Consider the following 18,812-nt stretch of genomic DNA (forward strand, 5'->3'; position numbering starts at 1 on the left):
TAGCAAAGATAGTACAGAGAGCTCCACATCCCCTAAACCCAGGTACCCATATTATCAACATCTTATATTAGTATGGTACATTTATTATAACTAATAAACCACTTTTGATACATTACCTGAAGTCCATACCTCATTCACATTTCCTTAGTTTTTATCTAATGTCCCTTTTCTGTTCCAGGATCTTATATAGTACACCACATTACATTTAGTTGTCATGTCTCCTTAGTCACTTCTTGTTTTTAGGTTTCTCTGAATTTCCTCGTTTTGGGTATTCTTGAAATTTCTGAGTAGTACTGGTCAGGTATTTTGCAAAATGTTCCTCAGTTGGGATTTTGCTGATATTTCTTTCATGATTCGACTGGTATTATGGGTTTGTGGGAGAAACACCACAGAGGCAAAATGCCATTCTCATCCCATCATATCAACAGTACAAACTATTAACATAACTTATCATTGCTGATGCTAACCTTTATCACTTGGCTAAGGTGATGTTTTTCAGGTTTCTTCATTATATAGTTATTCTTTTTCTCCTTTTCATACTGTACTTTTCCTAGGAAAGTCACTTTGCATTTTCCACATTTAAGAAATGAGGAGTTGGGCTGGGTGTGGTGACTCATGCCTGTAATCCCAGCACTTTGGGAGGCCGAGGTGGGTGGATCATGAGGTCAGCAGTTCAAGACCAGCCTGACCAACATGGTGAAACCTCGTCTCTACTAAAAATATAAAAAAATTAGCTGGGCGTGGTGGTGGGCGCCTGTAATCCTAGCAACTTGGGAGGCTGAGGCAGGAGAATTGCTTGAAACTGGAAGGCGGAGGTTGCAGTGAGCCGAGATTATGCCACTGCACTCTAGCCTGGGCAATAAGAGCAAAACTCTGGCTAAAAAGAAAAAAAGAAAAAAGAAATGAGGAGTTATGCTCACCTTCCTTGAGGGTGGAAGATGTATGCAAATTATTTGGAACTGATCTGCATTGGAGATTTATCTGTTCTGCCCCATTTATTGATTTATTCAACCATTTATTTCCATCAGTATGGACTCATGGATGTTCACGTTATGCTTCGGGTTATAATTTAATACCACTTTACTGTGCTGCTCAAATTTTTCCAGTTTGAACATTGGGAGCACTTTTCAGTTGGCTCCTGTGTCCGTTTGACATAGTCTTATTATTTTTTTTTCCTATTTTTTTGTTGGGTTTGACTTTGGTTCTGGCTTTTCTGTTGGTGGTAGCAGTGGTGGTTTTTGTTTGTTTTGTTTTGAGTACTTCTTGTACATTCTGGCACAAGATGTTCCATGCTCATCTTGTATATTTACTGCCCCAATTCTAGAATCGGCCATTTCTTCAAAGAGCCCTGGTTCATTTGTTGACTAATGGTATTAGAAACCAAGATATGGTGGAGGTTGCAGCGAGCTGAGATCGCACAACTGAACTCTAGCCAGGCAGAGCCAGACCCCATGCCTCCTACCCCCACAAAAAATAAAAGAAACCAAGATATTGGTGCCAGGAATAATGCACTGTGTAGCTTTTTCAGATTGGCTTCTTTCACTTAGCGATATGCAATTGGGATTCATCTAAGTCTTTGTGTGACTTCATAATTTATTCTTTTTCATTGCTGAGTAGAACTCCATTGCATGGATGTACCATAGTTTGTTTATTCATCCACCTATTGAAGAACATCTTGGTTACTCCCAGTTTTTGGTGATTATGAATAAAGCTGATATAAACACTTGTGTGTAGGGGTTTGTATTGACATAAGTTTTCAAAGGAGTTGAATAAATACCTTAGGAGTGTGGTTGCTGGATGGTATGGAAGAACGTTTCTTTTTTTTATTTCCAACTTTTAAGTTCAGAGGTACATGTGCAGGATGTGCAGGTTTGTTACATAGGTAAACATGTGCCATGGTGGTTTGCTACATAGATTATCCCATCACTCAGGTACTAAGTCCAGCATCCATTAGCTATTCTTCCTAATGCTGTCCATCCTCCCATGCCCCACCCTCTAATAGGCCCCAGTGTGTGTTGTTTCTCCTGATGTGTCCATGTGTTCTCATCATTTAGCTCCTACTTATAAGTGAGAATATGTGGTATTTGGTTTTGGTTTTCTGTTCCTGCATTAGTTTGCAAAGGATAATAGCCGCCAGCCCCATCCATGTCCCTGCAAAGGTTATGATCTAATTCCTTTTTATGGCTGCATAATATTCCATGGTGTATATGTACCAGATTTTCTTTATCCAGCCTACCATTTATGGGTATTGAGGTTGATACCATGTCTTTGCTATTGTGGATAGCGCTGCAATAAATATATGCAGGCATGTATCTTTATAATATTAATAGAATGATTTAGGCCCAGCATGGGGGCTCATGCTTGTAATCTCAGCACTTTGGGAGGCCAACACGGGTGTTTTGCTTGAGCACAGGAGTTTGAGACCAGCCTGTGCAACATGACAAAATCCCATCTTTACAAAAAAATACAAAAATTACCCAGATGTGGAGACACATGCCTATAGTCTCAGCTACTTGGGAGGCTGAGGTGGGAGGATTGCTTCAGCCTGGGAGACCGAGGTTGCAGCAAGCCAAAATCATGCCACTGCACTCAAGCCTCGGTGACAGAGCCAGACCCTTTCTCAAAATAATAATAGTAATAATAATAATAATAGAACAATTTCTTTTTATTTATTTTTTTTTTTGCAGTTGCAAGATTTAATAGAGTGAAATAGAGTGAAAACAGAGCTCCCATACAAAGGCAGGGGACCCAAAGGGGGTTGCCGTTGCCGGCTCGAATGCCTGGGTTTATATCCCGATCCTTGTCCCTCCCGCTGTGCTCCCAGGCAATAGATGATTGGCTACTTCTTTACCTCCTGTTTTTGCCTAATTAGCATTTTAGTGAGCTCTCTGATTGGTTGGGTGTGAGCTAAGTTGCAAGCCCCATGTTTAAAGGTGGATGTGGTCACCTTCCCAGCTAGGCTTAGGGACTGGGAAATCCAGCTAGTCCTGTCTCTCAGTCCCCCGTCTCAACAGGAAAACCCAAATGCTGTTGGGGAAGTTGGCCGATGACGGCTCTAACTGCTTCCTGCTGAACTGGGGCATAGTAGGAGTTGTGCAGTTGAGATTTCCTTGGGAGGGGTGCCTTCGATGTCATTAACATCAGAGCATGGGCTAGCAGGCCGGTCCAGGAGTCCGTGGTGGATCTTAGTCATGGACTGCATCTGGGGCTCCATTTGAAGAACCATTTGTAGTTTTACAGTTTCAATTCATTTTGGAGGTCCCTTCATGGTTGCCAAAATGTTACCGGGGGGTCCTTGCTCACAGAGCTCCCAAGATGGTGGTGGGCCACTTCCAAGATGGTAACAAGCCTTGTGTTCTCTGACCTGGGGTTCTGGGCCTTACGGATTCCAAGGAATGGAATCTTGGGCCATGTGGTGAGTGTTATAGCTCTATTAGAAGCTGTGGGTCATGGAAGAGAACCGTGGAACCCAGTGACTAGCGTTCAGCTCAATTAGGACAAACCCAGGCACTTAGCCGTGCCCGAACAATGGCAAGCCTTTAGCATGATCGGGAGTGGCAATGGGAGTCTCGCTGGATCAGAGGCACAGAGGACACCCTGCCAGATCTGGAGGGATGGGAGTCAGGGGCGGGTCTGCGACAGCGGCAAACAGCAGTGGTGGACAGCGAGAGAAAAGCTCAGCTCGAGCCGTAACAAACATGGACGAGAAGAATGCAGTTGTAAAATTTAATAGAGTGAAATAGAGTGAAAACAGAGCTCCCATACAAAAGGAGGGGACCCAAAGGGGGTTGCCATAACAGAACAATTTTTATTCCTTTGGGTATATGCCCAGTAATGGGATTGCTGAGTTGAATGGTATTTCTGCCTCTAGGTCTTTGAGGAATCACCACATTGTCTTCCACAATGGTTGAACTAATTTACACTCCCATCAACAGTGTAGAAGCCTTCCTTTTTCTCCACAACCTCACCAGCATCTGTTGTTTTTTGACTTTTTAATAATAGCCATTCTGACTGGTTTGAGATGGTATCTCATTGTGGTTTTGACTTGCATTTCCTAACAGTCAGTGATGTTGAGCTTTTTTTCATATGTGAAAAACTTTTCTTTATAAGACACTGCTAAATTGTCTTCCAAAGTGATTGTACCATTTTACGTTTCCACCAGGAACAAATGAGAGTTCTTTTTTCACATCCCTGCCAGCAATTGGTATTGTTGGGTTTTTGAATATTAGCCATTCCAATTGGTAATGTAGTGATGGCTCATTGCTATATTATATATACACATATATGTATTTTATTTATAAATATATGATTCAGTGAATAAATGAATCATTACATGTAATAACATCATAGTACATTAACAGAGGCAGCCTTAGACTACTACTCTTTCCCAACTCCTGACTCCTCTAGAAAAGCTTATATGTTAAGGCAGTAGGACTCTGACCCAGAGTAACAGACAGCTTTTACACTGTCTAGATACATATAAGAACTGAAAATTCTTAATTTGTCCAAGAGCAACATAATAAGTCTGAATATTTAACTGTTATACATATATTATTTATATTTACATACTATTTAAAACTATTAAAAGTCTGATCCAAAAATGAATGTCAAATGCCAAATAATAACAAATCCTATAATTAGACATTGGTATAAATAGGAACCTAATAATAGCTGCTTAGAATCTATTTGTCTTCTTTATTATTAAAAATAGCATACACACTCCCCAGTTATCAAGTAATCAATCAAGGATTGGGTGCTATGCTTTAAAGGATTACATGATGTTCCTTTTGGTTCATGATATGCAGGAGCTAAGAAGAACCAGGTTGTGTGGTATTTAGAGAAATAATGTGAGCAACCACCCAACTGAAAGTTAAAATAATTATTGACCTTTGATCTTACAGTTGCTGTATTATTTAGTTGGCATCACTTAAAACCAAAGTTATCAAACATATAAGAGTTATCACCACATTCAAGAGCAAGCAAGATAATTTTCAAAGTTTAAACTGATTAACAATGTTGAAAACAATTCTTAAAAATGCTGATTGAAACATCAGTTTGTACATTTACAAGTCCATTCTTCAATATCTATTTGGTAATCCCAATCAGTATGATTAAGATTTTAAATACTAAAATACTATTACTAAAATTATAAAAAGTTTTATTGTAGCCATTTTAGACTTTCATATTCAGCAAATAGGATATCAGATTAGCTTTTTTTTTTTTTCAGGAGTGGGCAGGAGTAAAATTAAGATTTTAAAATAAATATATTTTTATGTATGATTTCATGATGTTTGCTGGGTGGGGGGAGCTCCACTATTTTAACAGCCTATCATATACTTATCAGTAGCATCACTAATTTTAGCTGTTTCTCAGAAGCATCACAGTCATATAGGAAACTGCACATATTATAACTCCACAGCTTGAATTTTCACAAATGGAACACAACTCTGTAGCTAGCACCTAGATTCAGAAGCAAGATAGTTTCAGCACCTCAGAAGCCCCCTTCAAGCTACTTTGCAATCATTACACCACCCAGATTTCCAACAGCATGTTTGTGTTTTAGTACTTTGCATAAATGGAATTGCAGTGTCTTTTGTTGCATGTTGTCTTAGTATCAATGTTTGTGAGATTCATCTACATTGTTGCATATAGACTATTTCTTCCCATTGCTATACACTACATCTACTATTTCATTGTGACTCTACCACAATTTATCCATTTTGATGGATATTGTGTATTTCATTGTGACTCTACCAGGATTTATCTATTTTGATGTCACTCATTGTGAATGTACCACAATTTATCTATTCATTCTAATGTTGAAGGACATTTTAATATTTCCCCATTTGGGACTAAAGTGCTATTATCTATGGTGTAGTACATGTCATTTAATAACATGTATGGAATTTGGGGGGTAAATACTTACCAGTGAAATTGTCACAAGGAAACACGATCAGCCTTAGAAGAAAATGACTAAGTATTTCAGTTTAACATGTATAGCAATTAGGATACATAGCAATATATAGCAATTGCTTAGAATGTACAGCAATTTAAATCCTCATTTACGTTGTGAAAGTTCTTCACATTCTTGCCAATGCTTGTTATTTTCCATCTTTTGTTTCTTATTTTACCAACAAGAATGAGGTTGAAGATATTTTCCACCTTTTCAAACTTAGCCCTTTTGTTAGATGTATAGTAGTACCACACTGTACTTTAATTTTCCTGATAATTAATGAAGTCATGCATGTTTTCATGTTATTGACCACTCGGATATCCTCATTTGTGACATCCATTTTCTTTTTTTTTTTTGGTGTCTTTTAAAAATATATAAATATAATTGATTGTAAGTATACTTTGTAGATTCTGGGTATGAGGTGTTTTGGAAAGTTTTTTAAAATCTCATTACAAGGTCTTATTTTACCCTCCTGATGGTATTTTTCTCTTGTGAACAGAGTTTTTTAATTTTAATATAGTCCATTTAACCAATTTTCTTTATAAGCAGGTTTTTTTTGGTCCAGTTTCCCCAGTTTTGCCTAGTCAAAAATCACATGTAGGTTAAACCTGCAATCTGTCTGTAATTTTTTGTATGGTCTGAGAAAAGGGTCAACATACACTTTTATTCTGTATAGATATGCAACTGATTCATCATCATTAAATGAAAAGATCACTTCTTGTACTTATTTGCAGTATGACTTGTAACAAAGGATAAATGCTTGAGGTGATGGGTACCCCATTTACTCTGATGTGATTATGCATTGCATGCCTGTATCAAAATATCTCATGTATACACCTACTATGTAGCCACAAAAATTTAAAGTTTAAAAAAAATTAAAGTAGGTGTTTGTGTGTGTATGGGTCAGTTCCTGGAATTTCTGGTCTGTTTTATTGGTCATATTTCTCTAAAACCACTTAGCAATAGCACATCGACTTTATTAGAAGAACTTTAGAATGTATCATTTTCTCTGGGTTCTTCTTTTTCAAAATTGCATCAACAAATCTTGGTTTTTTGTACTCCATATGAATTTTTAAATCAATTTACTAGTTTCCACAAAGATAGCTGCTGGGCTTTTTATTGAGACTGTACTGAAATTGTAGATTTGAGGGATTGACATCTGTGCAATAATACTTTATATATCTCTCCATTTATTTAGAAATTCTTCACTTACAAAAATGTTTTGTAATTTTTCAGTGAGGAGGTCTTGGCACATCTTTTATTAGATTTAGTCTTATGTATTTGGGGGCTTTTGATGTTACGGTCAATGGCAACATTTAAAAATATTGTTTTCAGTCAGTTGCTGTTATGTGAAAACACAACTAATTTTTTAAATATTGACCTGTGTACAGCAACCTTGCAAATACAGTTTAGTTTTTATATTTTTATGAGGAATTTTAAATACATATTTTAGGTACACATACACAATCATATTGAATAGTGAATAATGACAGTTTTGACCCTTCTAATCTTAATGTTTGTTTGTTTTGATCTTGCGTTACTTTACTGCCTAGGACCTCCAGTACAAGACTAAATGGAAATGGTCATAGTAGGAATCCTTGTCTCATTTCTGAACACAAGAGAAAAGTCTTCAATAACATGCTTCATGATTAATGTTTGCTGTTGGTTTTTAGTAGATAATCTTCCTCCAATTAAGGGTGCTTCTCTCTCATCCTAATTTTCTGAAAAGCTTTATTGTGAATGGCTATTACATTTTGTCAAATGCTTTTCCTGAATCATAAGATTTAGTTTAGCTGTTTGCATTTTTTCCTCTCAATCTGATAAATTATGTTAACTGGCTTTTAGATGTAAAATGAACCTGGATTAAATCTCACTTGGTATGATGCATATATCACTAAATTGGATTAGCTAATATTTTTACTAAGGGTATTTACATCTATAATTATGAGAGAGATTGGTTTTTAATTTGTTCCTTTCTTGTAATATGCCTGTCAGATTCTGCAGTCAATATTACCTTGCCTTATAAAAAGAGTAAGGAACCATTCACTCTGGAAGAGTTTGTGCAAAATTGTTATTATTTCTTCCTCAACTATTGGGCAAAATTTGCAGATAAAGCCATCTGGGCTATGAATTTTCTTTGTACAGAAATTTTTAAATAATGGATTTCCTTTACTTAAGATTTTTCTATTTCTTCTTTTGCTGCTTTGGTAATTGCCTTTTCCAATAAATGTTTCGCTTCATTTGTCAAATTTATTGATGTAAGGCTGTTCATAATACAGATTATCTCTTATCCAAAATGCTTGCAACCAGAAGTGTTTCAGATTTGGGGTTTTTTTCTGGTTTTGGAATATTTTTGCATTATACTTACCAGTTAAGCATTCCAAATCCAAAAGTCTGAAATCCAAAATGCTCCAATTAGTACTTCCTTTGAGCATCATGTGGGCACTCAAAAAGTTTTGGATTTTGGAGCATTTCAGATCTCATATTATCAAACTTAGGATGCTCAACCTATATACTCTTCATTTTTCAAAATTTCATTATAATATTTCAAGTAATATTCTTGGAAGGTTGAATTTTACAATGAACACACATGTATGCTTCACTTGGATGCTACATATTTTATGTTTTAAAATGTATCTATCAACTCATCACTCATAGTTCTAGCAATTTATCTTATTTCGGTGGGAATTTTTAAGTAAATTACAGATATAGTTCCCCCTAAATATTCTTTGCATATTATTCGAGTTCAATATGTTTAGTTTTTTTCCTCATAGTTTTTTCCTTTTTGGGTAAAATTTACATTAGATGAAATGCACAAATTTTAAGTGGACATCCATTGAATTTTGACAGAGGCATATACCCATTTAACCCAAATCCTACAAGATATAAAACATTCTCATTCCAGAAAGTTTCCTTATGCCTCTTCCCAGTCAATCCCTACCTCTACCCTTCCTGAAAGTCAACCATTCTTCTGATATTTTCCACCGTACATTAGTTTATTCTAGAAATTTATATAAATTGAATTTACAGTATGCACTCTGTTTTAAAAGACTTATTTCAGCATATTAAAGATTCATCCAGGTTTTGCATAAATCATCAGTTTGTACTTTTTTCACTGCTATTATTCCATTGTATATTTATACCAGTGTGTGTACATATTCTACTACTGATAGACACCTGGGCTTTTTTTAGTCTGGGACTACTTTGAATAAAGCTGCTATGAACATTCTTGACCTTTTTGTAGATGTGTTTTTCTCTTGAGTAAACACATAAATGTAAAATTGCTGGGTCACAGGATAGGTATAAATTTAGTTTTATAAGAAACTATTACAACTTTTTTGCAAAGTAGCCATGTCATTTTCATAGTAGTTGTACCACAAAGTATCAGAGTTCCAGTTGCATCATATCCTTGTCTACATTTAGTATAGTGGTATTTCATTTTGATTTTAATTAGCATATCCCTGATGACTAATAATGTTGAGTTACACATCTTTTAAAATTGCATGTGAATGGAAGCCTGTCTCTGAAAGGAATATTACTGGGGGAATAAAAATTCTCTAAGAAGAAATTAAAATCAGAAGCTGGGGACTTCCTCTTCCAATTAAGGTGAAATTAATAGGGAGCAGATTCATTCCTCTATTTTACAAAACTAAATAACTAAAGAAATTCTACTTGAAACCTTGATTGTTCCAGCTTACTGACTTGATTGTCCAGTCACAGCACAGGGGAAAAACTAAACAAAGCCCAGTGGTCTTCCTGAGTTGAGAATCTGGTAAGGCTAAGGGAACTACAATTGACAGAAAAGAGTACCAGAAAGGAAGGCTGCGGTGTGAGGAAGCTCTATCTATAGAGGTTGAAGGTTCCCTCACATCTTCAGCCAAGTTCTGACCAATGCATGCATTTGAGGAAATTTCTAAGTGTTGGGGAAAGAATCACCAAAAAGGACAGGCAGAATAATCCTCTGGATTCATACATGGATAGGAATAGTGTAATTCCTGTTCCCATTAGCCAAAGTAGGAAAACCTTTTAATACGTGGGGCATTGGTAAAGTATTCAAAAGGGTATTGCCTCAGTATGGGTAAAAATTAGCATGAAATTAAAGTCTGATCTCACCTTAAATACAAGCCTCAAAAGAATCAAAACTGCCTCCTTGGTTTCCTACTGACTTAGTTGGATCCCAGCACAAAGCTCAAGAATACAATTATGCACTGGTTAACGATGGAGATAGGTTTTGAGAAATGTGTCATTAGGCAATTTAATCATTGTGCAAACATCATAGGGTGGATTTACACAAACCAAGATGGTGCAGCCTACTACACATCTATGTTATATGGTATAGCCTATTGTTCCTAGGCTACAAACCTGTGCAGTTTCTTACTGTCCTGAATACTGCAGGCAATTGTAACACAATTTTAAGTATTTGTGTATCTCACCATAGCTAAACAGAAAAAGTATAGTAAAAATACAGTATAAAAGATTAAAAATAGTATACCTGTCTAGGGTACTTACCATAAATGGAACTTGTAGGACTGGAAGTTTCTTTGGATAAATCAGTGAGTGATGAGGGAAAGTGAAGGCCTAGGACATTACTGCACACTACTGTGGACTTACAGACACTGTATACATAGGCTACACTAAATTTACAAAGATATTGTCTTTCTTCAATAATTAATTAAACTTAGCTTACTGTCACTTTTTACTTTATAAACTTTTTATTTTTCAATTTTGGGTTCTTGTAATAGCTTAGCTTAAAACACAAATACACAGAGCTGTACAAAAATATTTACTTCCTTTATATGCTTATTCTATATGCTTTTTACTATTTTCAAAGCTTTTTATTTTTATTTTTTAAACTTTTTGTTAGAAAACAAGACACACCTGCATTAGCCTAGGCCTGCACAGCATCAGAATCCTCAATATCCCTGTCTTACCCTCTACATCTTATACCACTGGAAGGTCTTCAGGGGCAGTAACAAGCATGGCACTGTCATCTCCCATGATAACAATGTCTTCTTCTGGAATACCTTCTAAATGACCTGCTTTTTTCTTCTAATAAGTAGGACTATACTCTAAAGTAATAATAAAAAGTGTAACAAATACATGAACCAGTAACATAGTAGCTTATTATTGTTATTAAGTATAATGTGCTGTGTATAATTGTGTGCTAGGCTTTTATATGACTGCCAGTGCAGCAGGTTTGTTTACGCCAGCATCACCACAAACATGAGCAATGCAGTGCACTACAATGTTATGATGGCTACGACATCACTAGGTGATAGGAATTTTTCAACTCCATTATAATCCTATGGGACCACCGTTATATACCCAGTTCATTGTTGACCAAAAAGTTATTATGTAGTACATTACTCTATTTAAGGAAAAAAATACCTTGTACTCAACAGGCAAAACTCATAATGTCTGGAATCCAGTCAACGATTTTCAGTGATGCAAAGAAGCAGGAAAACATGACCCACAATGAAAAGAAAAATCATTCAATAGACACAAGATAAAATTAGTAGACAAGAACATTGAATCTGCTATTATAACTATATTTTATATGTTCAAGAAAGTAGAGGAAAGCATAAACGTATTTTTAAAGACTCAATTTGAACTTAGTTCTAAAGGTTTTTTAAAATGTCTGAGATTGAAAATTTCACTGAATTAGTTAAATACCAGACAGGATGCTGCCAAAAATAAAAAGACAAATTGAAAACATAGCATAGCAATAAAAACTATCCAAAATGAAACACAGAAAGAAAAAAGAAACCTGGAAAAAAATGAACAGAGCAACAATGAGTTGTGGGACAAATTCAGTCAAACAGACCAAAAAATGTTTGTATTGCTTTACAAGTTAGCAACAAATACAGCTGAATAATCATAAACATGGCATTTCTAATTCTCAAATTGGAGGGACAAGACCAGGAAAATGCTCTTCCACTTAAAACACATTTGTTAAAACTGAAATCCACAACTTCTGTCAAGACCTTCAATATTCTCAAGCAAAATCGACACCTATAAAGAGTCAAAGAAAACTATTAATAGTATCAAGTTTACTCCACATGTCTGAGTATGTAACTGAAAGGTCTTACATGTATTTATACAGGCAGTGCTTTTACTAAACATTTTATGTAGCCATCCTAGGCACTTTTAAGAATATAACACCCTTTAAACACATTCTTTTGCAGAAACAGATGTCAAGAAAATTGTAAAGTCCAACGATGCATTGCAATCAAATTTCTCCTCTTTCCTCAGGAGGAAAAACTAGTCAGCCTTTAACGTGGCCTGAAATAAAAAGCCAATGATCAAAGAACCTGAATGAACCCAAGTAATAAGAAACATAAAACAATACCAAGGATCATCATAATCGAATTGCTAGAGGTTGAACACTTTTTCATGTGCTTAATGGTCAACTGTGAAGTGCCTATTCAAATGTCTCACCCATTTCCTAATCTATTTTTTTTAATTCTTTATATATCCTGATTCCAGTCTTTTGTCTCGTTTTGCAAGTATTTTATTTCAAGTTTTAACATGTCTATTTCCTTTTTTTGATGAGCATAAGTTTTTAATTTCTATGAAATCTTTTATTATTAAAAACCATTTTATGGGGGCCAAGTGCGGTGGCTCACACCTGTAATCCCAGGAATTTGGGAGGCCAAGGCAGGTGGATTAGCTGAGGTCAGAAGTTCGAGACCAGCCTGGCCAAAATGGTGAAACGTCTCTACTAAAAAAAAAAATTAGCCACACGCCTGTACTCAGGAGGCTAAGGCAGGAGAATTGCTTGAACCCAGGAGGCAGAGGTTGCAGTGAGCTGAGATTGTGCCACTGCACTCCAGCCTGGGCAACAAAGTGAGACTCTGTCTCAAACAACAACAACAACAACAACAACAACAAACCAATTTTATGGTTAATACTTTGTGTCCTAAGAAATCTCTATCCACCACTAATTGCCAAACTATGTTGTAGCTTTTACATTTGGCTCTTGAATTGATTCTTGTGTAAAGTATGAGGTGGGGATTGAGGTTCATTTTTTTAAAATGTGGACATCCAATTATTCTAGCACCAGTTGTTGCAATGACTCTCCTTTCCCCATTGTATTGCTTTGACACCTTTGTCAAAAATTAAATGAGTGTGTAAGTATGAGACTATTTCTCAGCTCTCTCTTTCATTGATCCATTTGTTTGTCTTTATGGCAGAATCACAACATCACTTTATAGTAAATCTTCAAATCCTCTAACTTTTTCCATTGCAAAATACTTTGGACAATCTAAGTACTTTACATTTCCATATAAATTTAAGATCAGATAGAAAACTTTTGTTTGAATTTGGTGAAACTATTATTTGGATTGTGTTGAATTTATATAACATTTGTGTTAATTTATATAACATTTATACAACATTGAGTCTTCCAATACATTCATGTGAAACATATCATTTACTTATGTCTACTTTAATTTCTCTTAACATTTTGTAGAGTTCAGTGTACAGGTCTTATACATGTTGGTAAAAAGCTACTTCTAACTTGCTTTTTGACACTATTGTAACAAGAATTACTAATTTTTCAAGTGTTCATTGCTTGTATTCTTACTTTTTAAATGTCTGTAGTCATCTCATATTTTGATTACTGTTTTTTAATTAGCATTGATATGGGTTACTGTTTTTATTTCTCCTTGAACCAATTTTGATAAGAATATAATCAACTTCATTAATCTTTTGGAACAATCGTTTTTAGCTTAATTTTCTCTATTATACATTTGTGTAGTATTTCATTGGTTTTTGCTGAATTATTCCTTTAATTCTACTTTCCTTAGGTTTGATGATCTCTTATAGCTTCTTGAATGGGAAACTTTAAATTTTGTTCTACAATGGGTTAAATAGCATCAAAATTTGATGTCATGTTCTTTACCTTTCAAAATACTTCATAGTTTCTTTTTATTTGCTCTTTAAACAATGAACTATATAGAAATAGAATGCTTAAACTTAAGGCAGTTGAAATTTTGTTCTCTTTCTTATCATTTCTAGCTTAATTCCATGGTGGTCAGAAAACATTACAAATGATTTCAGTATTTTTACTTTTTTTTTGGAGACATGGTTTCACTCTTGTTGCCCAGGCTGGAGTAGAGTGGCATGATCTCAGCTCACTGCAACCTCCGCCTCCCAGGTTCAAGCGATTCTCCTGCCTCAGCCTCCTGAGTATCTGGGATTACAGGTGTGTACCACCATGTCCAGCTAATTTTTGTATTTTTTTTTTTTTTTTAGTAGGGACAGGGTTTCACCATGTTGGCCAGGCTGATTTCAAACTCCTGACCTCAGATGATCCACCCGTCTCAGCCTCCCAAAGTGCTGCGATTACAAGAATGAGCCAATGTGCCTGGTCGTCTTTTTGATCATTTCTAGCTTAATTCCATGGTGATCAGAAAAACATTACAAATAATTTCAGTATTTTTACATTTCTTAATCTATTTTTTATTTGAATGGCCCAGAATGTGGTTGTGATGGTTAATATTGAGTGTCAACTTGATTGGACTGAGGATACAAAAAGTATAAAGGATAAAATAAAGCAGGCAGAAGAAAGTGGAATTGTAGCAGGACGAGCCGCAGAGAAAACTCCTCAGACACTGGATTAAAGAAGGAAGAGGTTTTTTATCCAGCTGGGAGCGTCAGCAGACTCGCATCTTAAGAGCTGAGCTCCCCGAAGACAGAGCTCCTGACCCTTTTAATGGCTTACAGCTCTAAGGGGTTCCATGTGAAAGGGTCTGATGGATTGAGAGCACATGTGGTTAGAGTTGGGGGGGGTGGTTAATCTTTTAACCTCAGGCCGGGTCATCAGTGGCACCGGCTGGTCTTGCCACTGACTTCCTTCTTCTTGTTTTTCAACTTTTACTTCCTCCTCGTCTTCAGACAGGAGACAGTAAGAGAAATGGCTTCTCTCCTCATTCCCCCCTTTGAGAACCTCACTCACTAGCGGGAGTTCTCACTCTCATCTACACTACCCAGGTCTTCCTGCCAGTCCAGTTCCATTGACTCCTAGAGTTACATACTCTCCTGTTTTCCAACAGGGATTAAGTAGTTCTAATGGGTTATAGCACACATCAGTCTGGTCACTTCCTGGGCTGCATACCTTGTACTGGGTGGCATTATACACACAAGTCCTTTTTAAACAAAAAGACTATTTTAACTTTTTTTTTTTAACCCTACCTCAGTCTGAAGAAGGTCAGTTGAAGTCCTTACTGTACAAGTCCAAAATTTAAAAAAATGAGTTCCACAGTGAACTTCCTCATGCTTCGGCTATGCGTGGACCAGTCAGCTTCCGGGTGTGACTGGAGCAGGGCTTGTCTTCTTCAGGGTCACTCTGCAAGGGTTGTCCAGGCTTGGTCTTGCCTTCTAGGTTTCAGGTGCTGCAGGTTTTACATGGCTGTGGTGGATCCAGGCTGGGATTCCCTCTACCTTCACAGCGGTGGGAGTGGTCAGGACGACAATCTGGGGTCCTTTCCACTGTGGGCACAAAGAGGCTACGTTCCAGTCCTTGATCCACACTCAATCACCTGGGGAGAAAGGGTGAACTGGGGAGAATAAGCTAACAGGGCATCTCTCATTTACCCAGGCTGAGATTGTGTAATTTTTCCTAAAGCCTGTAGCTGTCGCTGTAACTCAATTTCACCTAACTCTTGGGGAGTGCCTGGAAGTCCCCACAATATGGGAGGGGGCCTATGATATAGTATTTTATAAGGGGAATATCCTGCTCTTTTAGAAGGGGTACATCTAATTTTAAATAATACCATAGGGAGAGCCTGTATCCATTTTAATCCTTTTTCCTGACATACTTTCCCTAAACTATTTTTGATAGTCTGATTCATCCGCTCCACCTTTCCGGAACTCTGAGGCCAGTAGGCAGCATGCAGTTTCCATGTGATCCCCAGTACCTTTGCCGTCTTCTGTACCAAGTCAGCCACAAACGCCAGCCCATTATCTGAGCCGATCCGTAAGGGCAGTCCAAATCTAGGAATAAGATCTCAAAGAAGCACATGGGTTATTTCACAAGCTTTCTCAGTTCGTGTTGGATAAGCCTCCACCCACCCAGAGAAGGTACACACAAGAACTAGTAAATACTTGTTACCTCCACACTTTGGCATCTCTGTGAAGTCTAGCTGGAGATCTTCAAAGGGGGCTGCTCCATAAGCTTGCATGCCGGGTGGAACGGCTGGACCTTGCCTTGCATTATGCTGTCGGCAGGTAACACACCGCTGTGTCAGTTTTGGCAAAGGCTGACAAATGCGAGATGTAGAAATACTGGCCTAACAACTTTCCAAGTGACTCCTGACCTAGATGGGTGGTTTCATGCACAGCCAGTACAATTGCAGCTCCTAGCAGCTGTGGCACAGCTACTCTCCCATCTAGTAACCGAATGCATCCTTCCTCCATCACTTGTCCTCCCTCTACCTGGAGAAAGTCCTTTTCTTCTTTAGAATAAGTAGGTACAAGATCAGGTGCTTGAGGGAGCAGAGGGGCTGTGACTGATGCCCGCAAAGGGGCAGATGCTGCTTTTGGAGACTCTGAGTCAGTGCGGGAATTCCCCAAACCCACCAAGGTGGAAGCTCGCTGGTGTCCTTTGCAATGCATAACTGCCACCTTGTGGAGTTTCCATACTGCTTCTAACTGCAAGATTTCTTGTTGATATTCTATGTCTTTTCTGTTTATGTTTAATCTAATTTCTGATATAGTTGCATTCATTTCCACTACTTTTGATTTCAGTCCCATCTGGTTTGTTTTCATCTTTTAAATTAATATTATTCCATTTCCTTCTTTTATTTACTTGTTATAGATTCTTTTATGGATTATCTTAGAGATTACAGTGTACATTATTCTTTTATTACAATACAAATTACATTCACACTTTCATGATACTGCTAAAAACATATTGTTTTAACCTCATTTATCCTTTCCTTTTCCATTGTTATTGTGAACTTTAAATATGCTGAATTTTAAAATAACACAGGCATTCAATAATTGTTTTTTGTCCATTTGCTTAAATATTTATAATGTCTTCCTTGTCCATTTCCATGTCTTCATCTATGATTATTGCCCTTCATCCTGACCACAAATCTCCTTAGTTTTTCTTTTTAAAGTCTTTCTATTAAAAGCCATGGAATCCTACATTAGTAGCTATTTTCTTTTAACATATTAAAGATGTAATTCCAAACGGAAAATGATGTCAGCAAGATAGCAGAAGAGGAAGTCCTAGACCCTCCTTCCCCCAACAGGGACACCAGCTCAACAACAATACACATCCAGATATCCTATATTAGACTCTTCATCTTAATTTATTGTCTGCATTCTCTCCACTAGATGCTAAGCTCTTGGAGGGAAGAGATTTTGCTGTTTTGTTCATTGCTGTAGCTAGGGTGTGTGGAACAGCCTATGGCACATTACAGGCACTCAACATGTATTTACTGAAAAATAACCAAATGGGTACAAACCAAATTATTCCAGAGAAAACACTCTTTGTGAAGTCATTTTCAAATAACAATAAATGAATGCCCTCCAACATGATCTGTAACCATTCCTAAAATCAAACATAGCTGTATGTTTTTCTCATAACACAGAGAAATCAGTTATCAGATTTAGAAATACATAGCCGGCCAGGCGCGGTGGCCCACGCCTGTAATCCCAGCACTTTGGGAGGCCGAGGCAGGTGGATCACGAGGTCAGGAGATCGAGACCATCCTGGCTAACACTGTGAAACCCCGTCTCTATTAAAAATACGAAAAATTAGCTGGTCATGGTGGCGGGCGCCTGTAGTCCCAGTTACTCAGGAGGCTGAGGCAGGAGAATGGCGTGAACCCGGGAGGCGGAGCTTGCAGTGAGCCGAGACCGCGCCACTGCACTCCAGCCTGGGCGACAGAGCAAGACTCTGTCTCAAAAAAAAAAAAAAAAAAAAAAAGTGTATATATATATATATATATATATATATATATATATATATATATATGTATATAGCCACACATTTAATGTAAATTCATTTTAAAGATGCAAAAAAAAAAAAAACTATAGACAGAAATGGGATGAGATGTTTTCTGATTCTTAGATTAGCATTCTGCCTACGAAACTATGATACTACTTTATTTAAGAAAATAAATTGTCTTTCCCCAAACGGGAGAAAGAACAGTAACCACATGCAGGGAGTGGTGGGAGGAAAACAAAAGAAAACAAAACAAAAAACAATAGGATGGAAAAATACACACTCTGATCCATTAAAAATAGGCCTGTCCATCATGAATAGTTCATAGCTAAAAAAGGAGTCCCATGGTAACAGAAGACATATATGTAAAAAGGCTCTACCTGTTTTTGTTCCCCACCTTAGGAACAAAACAAAAATATGTGAAAATGTTTACCACTTTAAAAAAGGAAAAGGTTGACATTAGCTTTTATTTTAATCCCAAGATATCATCAAGCAAGACATTAGCTTTTTGACCATCCTTGGTGTCCATGTCAGAGTCTTCATGGCACATAACGAGCTCAGCTCTAAACCCAAGGTATGAACATAATAAGATGGATAGGAGTTAAAAGATGAGATGGTACAAGTATTCGAGACACTGGGTTCAAGCTCTAGTATCACTAGTGTGTTTAAATCTGATTCCTTAAGACACCTAAATCTTTGCAAAGACACAGGATGATCTGCATTTAAAAATCACTTAGTTTTATTTTGTTGAATAAAGCCATATACCTTGATAGAACATCTTCAATTAAGTGATGGCTCAGAAACTGTATATGAATTCAGAGAATGTTGAGACCTTAGGCTTCAAAATACTGAGAATTCAATCTTTCATTTGAAAGAATAATATCTATCCAGTGAAGTTCCAAT

General features: G+C 36.9%; 1 protein-coding gene across 3 annotated transcripts in view, besides 2 other annotated features; it reads right to left on the bottom strand.

Annotated features, from left to right (window-relative positions):
- Window positions 1-11,481: 11,481 nt before the first annotated feature.
- Window positions 11,482-18,812, bottom strand: part of TMEM161B (transmembrane protein 161B) — an 83,276-nt gene continuing 75,945 nt past the window's right edge. The window contains exons 13-15 of one of the 3 annotated variants that reach the window (XM_024454373.2): window positions 16,068-16,173; window positions 15,874-15,962; window positions 11,482-15,445 (exon numbers count right to left, since the gene is read on the bottom strand). In XM_024454373.2, the coding sequence (XP_024310141.1) occupies window positions 15,335-15,445; window positions 15,874-15,962; window positions 16,068-16,173 (306 nt within the window). In that variant the 3' untranslated portion in view covers window positions 11,482-15,334. Of the gene's footprint in view, window positions 15,446-15,544; window positions 16,174-18,812 lie in introns of those variants that run through there. The other 2 variants (NM_001349407.2, NM_001289007.2) reach the window with 2 other exon arrangements.
- Window positions 14,780-14,980: a silencer, noted in NCBI's record as "peak5334 fragment used in MPRA reporter construct". NCBI's record gives its function as "represses an SCP1 promoter by STARR-seq MPRAs in K562 erythroleukemia cells {active_cell/tissue: K562}" and the evidence as "EXISTENCE:reporter gene assay evidence [ECO:0000049][PMID:32103011]".
- Window positions 15,013-16,212: an enhancer, noted in NCBI's record as "CDK7 strongly-dependent group 2 enhancer chr5:87484918-87486117 (GRCh37/hg19 assembly coordinates)". NCBI's record gives its function as "activates an origin of replication core promoter dependent on BRD2, BRD4, P300/CBP, MED14 and CDK7 cofactors, with strong dependence on CDK7, by STARR-seq in HCT116 cells {active_cell/tissue: HCT116}" and the evidence as "EXISTENCE:reporter gene assay evidence [ECO:0000049][PMID:35650434]".

Source organism: Homo sapiens, chromosome 5 (genome assembly GCF_000001405.40).
Source record: "Homo sapiens chromosome 5, GRCh38.p14 Primary Assembly".
Classification (NCBI taxonomy): Eukaryota; Metazoa; Chordata; class Mammalia; order Primates; family Hominidae; genus Homo; species Homo sapiens.